At 46.5% G+C, this 14381-nt stretch overlaps 1 protein-coding gene across 10 annotated transcripts in view, besides 1 other annotated feature; it reads right to left on the reverse strand.

Moving 5' to 3' along the window:
* Window positions 1-14381, reverse strand: part of PTPRN2 (protein tyrosine phosphatase receptor type N2) — a 1048768-nt gene that overhangs the window by 498865 nt on the left and 535522 nt on the right. The window lies entirely within an intron of this gene.
* Window positions 12976-13152: a silencer, noted in NCBI's record as "fragment chr7:157843588-157843764 (GRCh37/hg19 assembly coordinates)". NCBI's record gives its function as "represses an EF-1alpha promoter that drives an FKBP-Casp9 reporter gene in an ReSE screen in HepG2 liver carcinoma cells {active_cell/tissue: HepG2}" and the evidence as "EXISTENCE:reporter gene assay evidence [ECO:0000049][PMID:32094911]".

Genomic DNA, 14381 nt, shown 5'->3' on the forward strand with positions numbered 1-14381 from the left:
GATGTATGGTGAGTTAGAGAAGCCAGACACATGGAGTGCATGATGTCTGAATCCGCTAACCTCCCGCTTTGGGTCTCACTTGGGAGGAGATGCTGAGGGGAGGGTCTGGGCTGCCAAGGGCTCTGTCTGGAGCTGGATGGTGACTACACAGCACAGTCAACAGGCTCTGCACTAAGATGTGCACACTTTGTATATGTTATACTCCAGTAGAAATTCATGTATAAAGTAAGATGAGAAAGTTGAATTGAGAAAAGAAAATCATCAAGGTTTTGGAAAGACTGACAAACAGAACCAGTGGAATAAAACTGAGGAGGGAGAAATATAAGTACACACATGGGGACTGGATAGACAACCAATGTGAAGACATACACTGCAGGAGAAAGGGTATTTCAACAATTAAATACAAGGGCCAGGACAACTCCCTATCTAAGTAGAAAAAGATAAAATTCAACCCCTGTCTCACAACAACAAAAATTCCTGACAGATTAAAGATTCTAAAACTTCAGAAGAAAATAAGGGCAAATATTTTTATGAAATCACTAGAGAAAGATGCCATGATGAAACCCAAAGACTTCAAATGGAAAACACTGATTAAAAAGACACCATAAAAAAGATAAAAGATAAGCTATATCTCTATTTTTATAACATATATAATGCACTGACCAAGAACTAGTATTCAAATATAATTACATACATTTTATAATAAAATACTATGCTATATATAACACATATAGCATTTCTATATAAATATGGTCTACATATATATTTATATGTAACATGTATATTTATATTATATAATATGTAGTATTTATATTAGATAATAAAGTATAAAATATAGAAATATAAGATTATACATAATATGTAAAATATGTATTTCTAGAATAATGACACAGATATTAAGAATCCTTACATTCTAATAATAAAATAACAAAAAAAAACACAGCATGAAAATTGAAGTGTTCAAACAAGCAATTCACTAATGAGGAAATTTGAATGGCTAACAGAGCTATAGAAAGCTGCTCCACCTTATTTGTCTGCCAGATACAGACAAATGAAAATTGTAATAAGATACAAGTTTATGGCCCTCCCCCTTTGGCATAAACTAAAGAGAGGTCTGATAACACCTAATTAAATTATATTGTGGGGAAATAGAAAAAATGTAAAAACTGCCTAAATATCCTGCAGTAGAGGAAGAATGCATAAATTATACTGTAATACCATGCCATAGTTACATATAAACTAGATCTAAAGGTATCTGCGTGGATAAATCCTCAAAATATAATTCTGTGTGAAAAACACATCTTGAAAGGATAGCTACAGCATGAAACCAGTCATGAAATAAGTCCAGAATGTTGTGGGATGGAAAATACCCAATTCCAACCCATCTGGCCTTCCTTTCACTTATGGGAGGAAAAGAAAAAGCTGAGAAGTCCTCTTGAGGTCACAGCCCAGGTGTGCAGGTTCAGGCTGAGACAGAGACCTGATCACAGGGCCAGAGGATGCTGCCCTCCTTCCACACCAGACCACCACATCAATACCAACAGGGCTCCCACATAATGACAGGGGATTACAGATAAAAGAACTGCACACATCAGACTTTATTTAAGGAGAAGTCTCTAGGGAAACCCAAAGAAAAGTAGGGAGATAAAACAAGGACACCAGAAGAAATTTTAGCCTCTGACAATTACAGCTCCAGCAAACAGTAAACAGCCTAACTCACAGCCAGGTAAAGATAAAACCTAATGCTAAAGGCCAATCTGCCTCAGTTTCTTTTATCCAATACAGCATATCTAGGTTTCAACAAAAAAATTACAAGCCATGCTAAAAGGGAAAAAAATCACAAAGAGAAAAAGAATCAGACTCAGATATAGCAGAGATATTGGAATTATCAGACAATGAATCTCAAATACCCATGATGAATATGAGAAGTGCTCTAGTGAGAAAACGGACAATGTGTAGGAACAGATGGGTGATTTGAGAGCTGGAAACTCTAAGAAAAAATCAAAAGGAAATGTTAGAGATCAAAATCACTGTAACAGAGATGAGGAATGCCTTTGATGGGCTCATTGGTAGAGCAGACATAGCTGAGGAATAATCAGTGAGAATGAGGATCTATCAATAAAAACTCCCCAAGACAAAAAGCAAAGAGAGAGAGAGAAAAAAAAAGAAAAAGACAAAACAGAATATCCAAGGACTGTGGGACAATTACAAAAGGTATAACATATGCATAATAGGAATACCAGGAAGAGATAAAGAGAAAAGGGAACAGAAGAAATATTTGAAGTAATAATGGCTGAATATTTTCAAAATTAATGCCAGACACCAAATCACAGATCTAGGAAACTCAGAGAACACCAAGAAGGGTAAATACAACACACACAAATTCACACTCACACACACAGATGCACACACACGGACACGCACACACATGCATATACACATGCACACACACACGTGCATACACATGTGCACACACTTCACACACACACACACACAAACACACTGCACATGCACACACGTGCACACACACTGCAGAAAAATCAAAGACAGGAATTTTTGGACAAAGCCAGAGAGGGGGGAAAAACCTTACCTTACCCATAGAAAAGCACGGAGAGAATTATGCTGGACTTCTTTTTAGGAAGAAGCGAGTAGAGAATGAAGTAAAATATTGAAAATGTTAAAAGAAAACACCCAACTTAAAATTCTATGTCCAGTGAAATAATACTTCAAAACTGAAGAAGAAATAAAGACTTTTTTAGGCAAACAAAAATTAAAGGAATTTGTCAGCAGTTGATCTGCCTTTCTTTTTTTCTTTCTTTTTTTTTTTTTTGAGATGGAATCTCACTCTATTGCTCGGGCTGAAGTGCAATGGCACAATCTCAGCTCACTGCAACCTCTGCCTCCCAGGTTCAAGTGATTCTCCTGCCTCAGCCTCCCGAGTAGCTGGGATTACAGGCATGCACCACCACACCTGGCTAATTTTTGTATTTTTAGTAAAGACAGGGTTTCACCATGTTGGCAAGGCTGGTCTTGAACTCCTGACCTCGTGATCTGCCCGCCTCGGCCTCCCAAAGTGCTGGGATCACAGGCGTGAGCCGCCACGCCCGGTCCACCTGCTTTTCAAGTAGTGTTAAAAGAAGCTCTTCTGACAGAAGGAAAGTGACACAGGTCCGACACTCGGATCTAAACAAGACACAGCAGATACCAGGGAAAGCATTCCAGGCACCACCAGGAAGAGCCACTGCAGAGGCCCTGGAGAATCCTGCTTGGCATGTTTGAGGAACAGCAAGGAAGCCAGGGTACTTGGAAGAGATCTACTAGTTATAAAGGGAAGTTCACAGCAAGAATACAAATGCATCATCTGTATTATCAATAATAGCTTATTGCTTTTTTTCTAAGTAGTTCTTAACAACATTGCAATAAAGAAACAATTGAGGCTGGGCACGGTGGCTCATGCCCATAATCCCAGCACCTTGGGAGGCTGAGGTGGGTAGATCACTTGAGGTCATGAGTTTGAGACCATCCTGGCCAACATGGTGAAACCCTGTTTCCACTAAAAATACAAAAATTAGCCTGGGGTGGTGGTACACACCTGTAGTCCCAGCTACTCAGGAGGCTGAGGCAGGAGAATCGCTTGAACCTGGGAGGCAGAGGTTGCAGTGAGCCAAGATCTTGCCACTGCACTCCAGCCTCGGTGACAGTCTAAGCAAGAGAGAGGGACTATGTCTCCAGAAAAAAGAGAGAGAAAACAAAAAGAAAAGAAAAGAAACAATTGAAGGCTACAAATAGTCAATATTTAGTCTCTTGAAAAATCTATGGCCAAAGAGAAACCTGCGTGCTTGGGTCCAAAAAAGCGAAACGAGTATTGCATGATCTTGGTGATTCTGAGGCCAGCTCTAAGTCTTTGCTGTCATTGACATGTGACCCTTCCCAATCACACTTCTTCCTACCCACGGCTGAGTCTGTGGTGAAAGGACAGACTTCCTTCAGCCATGTCAGGCTCCTTTACTATCCTTGTATCTTGCAACACTCTTAGTAATCACATCATTTTGAATTCTTTATGTAAAAATGTACCTGCTTTAAGCCTCAGCAAAGACCAATGTCAAAAGAAAGATATCTGTATCACAAGAACGATCACAGGCCCAGTAGATCGTGCGGCTGGACACGCACTTTCTGCCCACGAAAGAGCCTGTGAGGGGCCTCCATCTCGTGATGCAATGCACCAAGATGCCACGGGCACTGAAACACCAGCTTTTGGGTGCATACTTCATACCCACAGAAACCAGAGAATGGATTTCCAAACGTCCAGAAAAAAGAAGTCAGGGGAGTGAAACGCAGAGACCAGGAGCTCATCCGACTGCCCCATCGTGCTTGACTCTTCCCCAGCAGAGGGGTCGGGAGTTCCGGTGGATTCAGTGTTCCCATCAATGGTGAGCCGCTTCGGAGCAAAGCCAAACACAGCTCAGAACTGCACAAGTTCAGGCACCAGACACAGGGTAGGATCCACGTCACTCTCTGCAGCACAGGGTAATGCACTCTCTACCACACGCATGAATCATTTATTCAGAAAGAGATGAGAGATCCATGGAACTGTGAACTAATCCTAAATATAACATTTCCATTTACTTTCCCCGCACTTAACATCTTCGCAGTATCCCGTCACGGCTGAGTTCACGTTTTTGCTGTGTGCTGCTGGTATCCTGCCTGCAAGCTTCGGGAGGGCAGGGGCAGGCCAGGCCCAGGGCTTCCTAAGGGACCTGGCTGTCCTGAGCCACAGCCGGCTGATAGACACCATAGTGAAGAATCCGATGGGTGTCTGTGACAGTGTCTCAGGGCCAGGGTGACGAGCATCTGCTGCCCACTGTGCCAGGGAAGAAAGGGAGTACTGGCTTGCAGAGACTTACGGCTGAAACTACTAGAAAACAGGTTTTATGAACTGCCTCTGAATTTATTTGTATTATGCTGTTTTCATAATTAAAAGAAAAGCTTGTAACAGTTTCCTCATTTATAAATTCCATATTTCAATACAAAGCAAAACACTCTTGGAGGTTCTGGAATCCTTCAGTGTGCAACGCATCTGCCATTCCAAGACAGAGACCAAAAAAATGGAGGAAAGTTTGGGGGAAGTTACAGTGAAAAGCTCCTGATGGGCGTGGTGGCCATGCCCATAGTTCCAGCTACTCGGGAGGCTAAGGCAGGAGGATTACTTGAGCTCAGGAGTTCAACACCAGCCTCAGAAACATAGCAAGACCCCATCTCATGAAGAAAAAAATACCAAAAAAAAGTTCCTAGTGATAAAAGTAATGTGCCATGTGGAGGGGAACACTTTCCTCTAATCTAAGGGAGCAAATCCCAGGTTTTAATCCCATGGACAGAAAAAAGTGTCACCTTTACTAACAACATTCTTACCTATTAGTTAAATCAGAGATGTGTCCTGGGTGTAGACATGACCAGGGACAGGAGGATCAGGGATCAGGGATGAACATCAGAGGGACTCTCATGACCAGGGACAGGAGGATCAGGGATCAGGGATGAACATCAGAGGGACTCCCATTCTCGTCACCTGACTTTAAAGGGTTGGTAAGTTTTTCAACAAAAATACTCACCAACAATAATATCTCCCCAGCACCAAGCTCCTGCAGGAGAGAATGGCATTTGGGTGGCAGACATGGCCGTGAATGGGAAGGAGAAGGGCCTGACCTCACTGCAAGGCCGTCTGCATTAAAGAGGCCAATTTCTGAGCACAAGGCAGGTTGCCAGGAAATGCAGCTTGACATTTATAAACCTACTCACCAGCCTTTGTTCTCAATGCCAGGGCACCCAAGTAAGCAAGCCTTCCTTCCCGGCACTGCAGACACTTCTGGAAAGACCCACCATTTCTTCAGAAATGACACTTCACAGTGTGGCGAGAGGGGAGAAGCGCACAGACCATCCTGCACAGTTGGCTCAGCATTTAGCAATTACATAAAATGTGTGAGACTGATTGTCATTTGCTCAAAAAATGTGTTGAGCACCTAACGTACGCTGACCACGTCACTCGACGTGGCAGAGGGAGCAAAGCATAAAGAGAAAGGCCACACGCCGAGGCTGTGATGGGCAGTGAGGATATGTAAATCTTATGCTTATGGACTACATCCTGCCACACATGATTTTCATAAAAGTCATTAACTCCCAAAGCAACCCTGCAGGGTGTTTCAGATAAAAAAATTTAGAATAGCTTTATCTGAGTTACACAATTTTAAAAGTCAGCAACTGAAGAAATGTCCAGAAAGTCTTGGTTAAATAAAAAACACTTAAGTGGCACAGAGGCAGGAGGGGGAATCCTGAAGCTGGTGCGTCTGGGGAGCTCACCTCTGGAGGAGAAAATTGAACCAGCAGACTGTGGGCGGCCACAGCCCTGAGGCAGGGGTGGGGGGCGTCCTCACTGCTGCTGAATCTGTACAGGACTCTGGGGCCCCTTCTCCCCGCACATCCTGCACCTGCATAGGAATTCATAAAAACAAAGCAAGCACTCCAATGTGTGTGTCTTTCTTTTTCCTACTAAATGGGAACGTGTTGGAGCTTGGTCTAAATTATCTGCATCACCAAAGAGAGCACAGTCTCCAGGGCTCAGGCAGGGTCAGCCTCTGGCTCTCAGGCAGGCACAGAGAGCTCGGGGCCTCGATCATTTGTAAAGACTCTGCTGCAACCAAACTCACCAGCAGAGGACAGGCTGCAGGAGGCCACAGGGGACAAGGAGAACCCGTGCTGAAGAGACCACAGCTGGTCCCAGGGGACCAAGATGGGAGCTCTGCCTCAGAAACAGTGTCCAGGGCTCAAGTGGCCCAGGTTAACATCTTCTCTGCTACTTGGAAAAGAGATCTTTTCCTGCACCATAGGCCGACAGGTGCCAGTTCGGCGATGACTAAGTACAAAAGAGTCTGCTGCAGGAGCAACATTTAATTCTCAACGAGAGCACCTGGAGGACACCAGGAGGAGCATCACAGACAGGAAAAATTATAAACAGTGAAGGGCAGCCCCAAACAATAACAACAACTTCTCTTCCTTAGACACCCTTGAGAGTTATGTCAATAACCACTGCTCGGTTATATTTTACAGAAAGCCTTTCTAAATTAAAATATGGTGCTATCCACTTAAACCCTACTGGGCTGAACTTACACATATGCATGATATTGACCCCTGAATTGATCAGAGATTGATGCTGAAACCACCCAAAAGCCTCCATGACTGGAAGCTTGATATCTGACCCGGCTTTAAAGAAAGTTGGTGGCTTTGGGACAGCAGTCATGTGGCGCACAGCAGCCCATTCTTTGTTTCCAGCAGGCAGCAACAAATCCGTGAGGCTGAGCTAGCCCCTCTGTCGGGAAGCTCCAAATGGCTGGAGAAATAAATTTTTTATTAAAAAAGTAATTGGAAAGATGTTTACATTAATCAGATTTCTAATTTTTCACTTCTCCATGGTAAAGATCCCAGCTATCCAGATAAATGCCACTCAGAGCACCCACATCTCCTGGTGGTCTTGGCCTTGTGTCAGCATTCTAAATACTCACATCCATAGCAAGACATGAGAAACAGGAAGGAGAGGAAAGAAGAATCAGAGAGGTGTGCCCCAGGACGTGGGCGCAGCTGGCACATTCAGAGACGGTCTCTGAATTGCAGATTTCAGAGATTGTTTAGCACAGACATCCTGTTTTATCATTTGAAACCTAAGGAACAGAGAGTGCAAAGGGCTTGCCAATAGTTGGCTAGCTAGTCAGTGAGAGACCCAGGAGCAGAACCTGTGATCCTGGCGTCCTGACACTGCCTTGTTCTGTCCAGGAGCAGAACCTGCGATCCTGGCATCCTGACACTGCCTCGTTCTGTCCAGGAGCAGAACCTGCGATCCTGGCGTCCTGACACTGCCTCGTTCTGTCCAGGAGCAGAACCTGCGATCCTGACGTCCTGATACTGCCTTGTTCTGTCCAGGAGCAGAACCTGCGATCCTGACGTCCTGACACTGCCGTGTTCTGTCCAGGAGCAGAACCTGCGATCCTGGCATCCTGACACTGCCTTGTTCTGTCCAGGAGCAGAACCTGCGATCCTGGAGTCCTGACACTGCCTTGTTCTGTCCAGGAGCAGAACCTGTGATCCTGGCGTCCTGACACTGCAATCCTGGTGTCCTGACACTGCCTTGTTCTGTCCAGGAGCAGAACCTGTGATCCTGGCGTCCTGACACTGCAATCCTTGCATCCTGGCACTGCCTTGTTCTGTCCAGGAGCAGAACCTATGATCCTGGCATCCTGACACTGCCTTGTTCTGTCCAGGAGCAGAACCTGCGTTCCTGGCGTCCTGACACTGCCTTGTTCTGTCCAGGAGCAGAAACTGCGATCCTGGCATCCTGACGCTGCGATCCTGGCATCCTGACACTGCGATCCTGGTGTCCTGACACTGCCTTGTTCTGTCCAGGAGCAGAACCTGCGATCCTGGCGTCCTGACACTGCCTTGTTCTGTCCAGGAGCAGAAACTGCGATCCTGGCATCCTGACGCTGCGATCCTGGCATCCTGACACTGCAATCCTGGCATCCTGACACTGTCTTGTTCTGTGCACTGCCCTTCAGGGACTGAGGCAATCCCGCGATTTCTCATGTGGCAGGTTCTCAGCACCACACCTTCCACCATGACCTGAGGCCCAGCTGGTTTCTAAGAATGCACTGTTATGCAGCAGCTCTGGGACTAAAGGATGTCGAGACTTTAAAATACTGTGGCTGCAGGAACCAGGAGAGGATGCCGGGCTGGGTGTCAGAACACAGGGAAAAGCCATCCCTGTTAGCCACCTTGGCATGCTCTTGAGTTTCCTGAAGCAGATTTCCTAACCTGACATTTTGGAGACGGCAGGACGGGTTTCTCAGCAATAATCCCTCATCTGCCATTGAGGCGCCGAGCTCTTGTCTTCCTTCCTGGTGTGTGTACCGCTAGCTTTGCACCAGTTCCGCCCACTCACCAAAAAGTCCATCTAAATCCATCCATGCTTATTTTTAATTTAACCTTAATCCTGCAGGATCAGTACAGGGGCAGGCAATCAGGTTTACACAAGGGAGGCGAGCGGCTGCGAGGGAGGCCTGGCCTAAAAACGCCCCCGCCCCTCGCCCCGGAATGGAGCCTCCAGATACACTCAACTCAAACCACATCCCATTCCTCTCTCATGCAAACTCATCTGGTCACAGAGCATTTGCTGAGTGCAGACTCTGTGTGACACACACTGCTACTTTCTGAGGAACACACAGATGAATACAACAGTCCCCATGGGCAGGTTTAGCAGGGAAGAAGCACAGTCACCGAAGTCCAAAAAAGCCAGGCTGGAGCCCATGGGCCATGCAGAACAGGCCAGGAGCCGAGGGCAGGTCACTCAGTTCCCTTTCTCTCAAGGAGCTTTCAGCTCAGGAGAATAAACAAGGAGTATACACACATCATGTCCAAGGGCAATCTTAGTAACCACAACCAAAGAGGCTGGAGCCACTGCACACCTCAGGGAAGGAGAGGCCACTTGTGCTGTGCGAGGCCTGCCTGCAGTCACTGAGCGTGTGAGGCCTGCCTGCAGTCACTGAGCATGTGAGGGCTGCCTGCAGTCACTGAGGGTGCGAGGGCTACCTGCAGTCACTGAGTGTGTGAGGCCTGCCTGCAGTCACTGAGAGTGCAAGGGCTACCTGCAGTCACTGAGCATGTGAGGGCTGCCTGCAGTCACTGCGCTTGGGAGAGGAGGCACGGCACATCTGGCGTTTCAGAGCCGATGGCATGTTAGAGGCCACCGGGGAGGGACAGCTGCTGGGCACAGCTGGTGCACTAGAAGCAGCTGAGGTCCATTCTGCAAAGGAGAGCTGAGGCTGGGTTGCACAGCAAAGCACAGAGCAACATGCAGCCAGTCTTTTCTCAGTGCAAAATGGGCAAGCCGGGAGCTCTCAAGTGAGTCAGCAACCCACCAATGTGGCATTACAGGAGGATGAACAGGGCAGTGCAAGGTGACCTGGGGGTAGGAGTACCGAGCACATGGAACACACGTAAGGCAGCTCCTTGTTCAGGCATGAGGCAGGAAGAGCTAGAATGGGGCCGAATTCAGAGCAACAGGGACAGGGGACCCGATGGATATCGAAGGTGGCCAAGAATGGTGCATACACACTTTCTTCTAAGGACACTTTCTGTCTAGATAGAAACTCATACATGAATACACATATGTATACACACACACACACACACACACAGGTCAGTACCATTCTTTCAACTTTTCTGTTTGTATATTTTCATCATAAAATATTGGGGAAATGGTGCCTTTTCATCTCTGCAATGTGAGAGCTCTATAGCATCAGAAACTCTCCTTATCTTACAGACCATGTAGAAACATGTGGGGAAAAGTCCTACATGCATCTATAAATCACCAGGTCCTGCTAGCCACGGGCATCTCCTCTTGGTCCTCATGTTACATTTTCTTAGACTTAAGTTTTCTTCATAGCAAGGGAACATGACTTGACTCTGAAAACTTGAATGATGTATTTTAAGGTGAGTAAGTTACATAGGAATAATGTATATCCCTATCATCATTGTTACTATTGCCATCATCACCATCAATAAGCATCATAATCATATCATCCCACCAGCACCATCATCACCATCACTATCATCATCATCACTATCATCATCATCACTATCATCATCAATCACATCACCACTACCACCATCACCATCACCACCATCATCATATCACCATCACCATCATTACCATCACCACTGTCACCATCACATCACAACCACCATCACCATCACCATCATATCACCACCATCACCATCATCACTATCACCAACACCATCATCACCCTCACCATCATCACTATCATCCCACCACTACCATCACCACCATCACTATCATCATCACCATTATCACCATCGCATCACCACCATTACCAATATCACTATCACCATCACATTACCACCACCATCACCATCATCACCATATCACCACCATCACCATCATCACTATCACCAACACCATCATCACTATGGTCCCATCACTACCATCATCATCATCACTATCATCATCGTTATTACCATCACATCACCACCATCACCATCATCACTATCACCAACACCATCATCACCCTCACCATCATCACTATCATCCCACCACTACCATCATCAGCATCACTATCATTACCACCATCGCCATCATCAGCATCACTATCATCATCATCATCACATCATCACCATCACCATCAATCATCATTGCCACCATCGCCATCAACAGCATCACTATCATCATCATCATCATCATTGTCATCAGCATCTCCATCTGACTGGTGGCCCTGGAACTCCTCCTTTGTCCTTTCAGTTGGGCATCTCCCATCATTCCCCCAGCCATCTCCACTCCCGATTCTCTGTGCCGTCTTCCTCTACATGTTCAGCCCTCTCTGCTACACTGGTGGGTGACTCCAACTCCGACACTACATGCTCTGCCCTGTCTTCCTTCCTTTCACAGCTCTTCATGCTCATCTCACCTCCTGAACTGCTGCCTGAGCATCCACAGGCCTGAAGCCAGGACTCACTCTTTCGGACTGACCCTCAGCTGATCCTTGAGCTGAAGTTCCTTGAGGAACTCGGCCCAACATTATATTTTTCCATGGCACCAGCCTCACAGCTGATCCCACATGGTCCTCAAAGAATGCAACCTGAGGCCGGGCGCAGGGGCTCATGCCTGTAATCCCCAGCACTTTGGGAGGCCGAGGTGGGTGGATCACCTGAGGTCAGGGGTTCAAGACCAGCCTGGCCAACATGGTGAAATCCTGTCTCTACTAAAAATTACAAAAAATGAGCCAGGCGTGGTGGCGGGCACCTATAATCCCAGCTACTGGGGAGGCTGAGGCAGGAGAATTGCTTGAACCCAGGAGGCAGAGGTTGTAGTGAACCAAGATCGCACCATTTTACTCCAACCTGGGCAACACAGCAAGATTCCATCTCAAAAAAAAAAATGCAACCTGATAGAAATGTGGTGCTCAGTTCTTATTTGTTGCAATGTAGCTATTACCTTTGGTTCCTGAAGGAGTTGAAAGGGGCAGGGAATGATGCAGGCACACATTAATTCACTGCTAGTGACCCCCATTTTATTAGGAAAGAAATAAAATACATGTAGGGTAATGGGCACATTGTGATTTATATAACAAGCGTGTTCCTGAAAAGGTACATCAAAGTCAGAATGCTTTTGAAGTGGCCTCAGAAAGGTTACTGTTTAAAACACTGTTATTAGAATTACTTTAAAAAGAGTGAAAATATTCAGGGAATGCAGCCTTTTGTAGATTATTCATGTTCTAAAGTGATCATGCTTATATTTTTACCTTCTGTTAGAATCAATGAAAAACTTAATTCATAATTCTACTAAGCTACAATTTGAAAATATCTTGGGTGCAATTTTCCTTCACATTTCTTTGGCTCAGTGTCCTCCAGATTTACCAGTGACAACAAAGTCACAGCAACCTCAATGCCTTTTACTGACTCCCATCTGCAGAGCCTCAAGCCAACTCCCTCTGGAAACTCCTCCTGCTGTTCTTAGAAGTCTTTCGGGCATCCAGACAGTCCTCTGGTTCTCTCTGAGCTTCCCCAAGATGCAGGAGCCACCCAGCTTGCATCCCACAGCCTCCCGGCTTCCCTCAGCTGCACACCCTCCCAGGTGCCAGGAGCACAGCTCGGGCCCCGCTCTCCCCCGTCACGCTGAGCTCTGTGCTAGGGTGGGTAGGGAAGGCCTCCTTCTCTGCAGAAGACTCAGGCCAGGCCAGGTTCCCACACCATTCTGTCCCCCACACGACTCTTCCATGCCAGTCTCCATCTCCTCAAGTACCTGCCTACCAAGAAAATAAGTCCTGTTCCTTCCTCTGTGCACACCTCTTTATGCAAAGAGGCACTGAAAGCTCAGAGGCCTCAGCAGCCCCGTCTGGGTTCTGGCTGCACTCAGGGATGCTTGCCCCTCCCGCTGGAAGTGCTCTCCCCACGGCAGGAGTGAGGAGCACTGAGACAACAGCCACCTGGAGTGGAAGGTCACCCAGGGGCACGCCATGGCGGTGGAGCCACCCCGGGGATTTCTTCTTCCTTTGCCAGTCTCTGCCCAAAAGATGAAATGCAGAGATGTGGTGTGTACATCTGAGAAGCCACAGATGCTAGCAGTGCCCATGGGGGGCATCTGCAGGGGGCATCTGTTGGGGGTCTGGAGGGCACTATGTTGTCCCCAAGGGCCCCATCCAGCACAGAGCAGTGTCAGCCAGCTCTCAGCAGTGTCACTTTGTGGACCAGCCCAGCTCTGGACCAGCTTGCTGAGGGGAGACGGCACAGTGCAGAGAGAGGAAACTGCCTGATCTCCGTTCCAGATGTAACCCAGTTCTTAGGCTATTATGGGACTGTGGGGACATTAAAGGACAGGAAGCACAGCCCTCCCCTCAAACATCAGAACTTCCCAAGACTCCCAAGGAGCTGCTGGCCCCAGCCTGGGTCCCTCCCAAGTCTGTCTGCCAGCAGCTGCAAAGGCCTCACATACCCTCCCTGTGTCAGGTGCACCAAGGTTCCTGGCTGATTAGCACCAAGGAGGACAAAAGCAGGCCTTTTGCAGTAGCTGTGTCTGTCTGTCTGTCTGTCTCAGGAAGCTGGAAAAGTGGCTAACTGAATTACATCCATGTCGTGCTCCCCCGGCGAGCGCCCGCCACCTTCATCTTTTCCCCTTTTGGTGACGTTCAGCACTGATTACAAAGTGTCTCAGCTGGTAATATGTTCACTTCATTTTTTTTAGATGTGTTTTTTATTCAGTTCACAGATGAATCCAATTAGCATATCACTGTGACTGATTAAATATGCCTCATGTAAATTTACATGTCAAAATACACACTGTACTTAAACAAGTAGGCCCGGCTGCCAGGCATCTGTAAACAGCTTTGCAGGCTTGGCCAGCTCGAAACACAAAAGCTAAGATTTAAATGTGCGGTGACTACCTGGTAGAGAGCGAGGAAGAGGGAAAAGGTAGTGTTACTCATGCATGAGGGGAGGGAATGAATATAGACATTTGTCTCTCTTTGTCTCTGAAGGGAGGCCATTGACAAGAGAGTCCCCATCTGCATAGGAGGCTGCCACATCCAATTAGCTCACCAGGCGATGGAAATTGCGCCTCTGATCCAGAAAAGTCCCTGTGCACTAAAGTCAAGACTGTTTCAAAGAGATTATATTATCTTAGACAGCAGGATTAAATTAATATGGCAATGACTTCTACGGGAGGAAATGTTTTTGTGAAACGTGCTAATGTTTATTATGCATTCTCCATCATAAGTGATCGCCTTTGATGTTCTATTCATTTGTTGATTGGTTTCCGACTTCCTCTTAGA

The sequence above is a fragment of the Homo sapiens genome, chromosome 7 (genome assembly GCF_000001405.40).
Source record: "Homo sapiens chromosome 7, GRCh38.p14 Primary Assembly".
Lineage (NCBI taxonomy): Eukaryota > Metazoa > Chordata > Mammalia > Primates > Hominidae > Homo > Homo sapiens.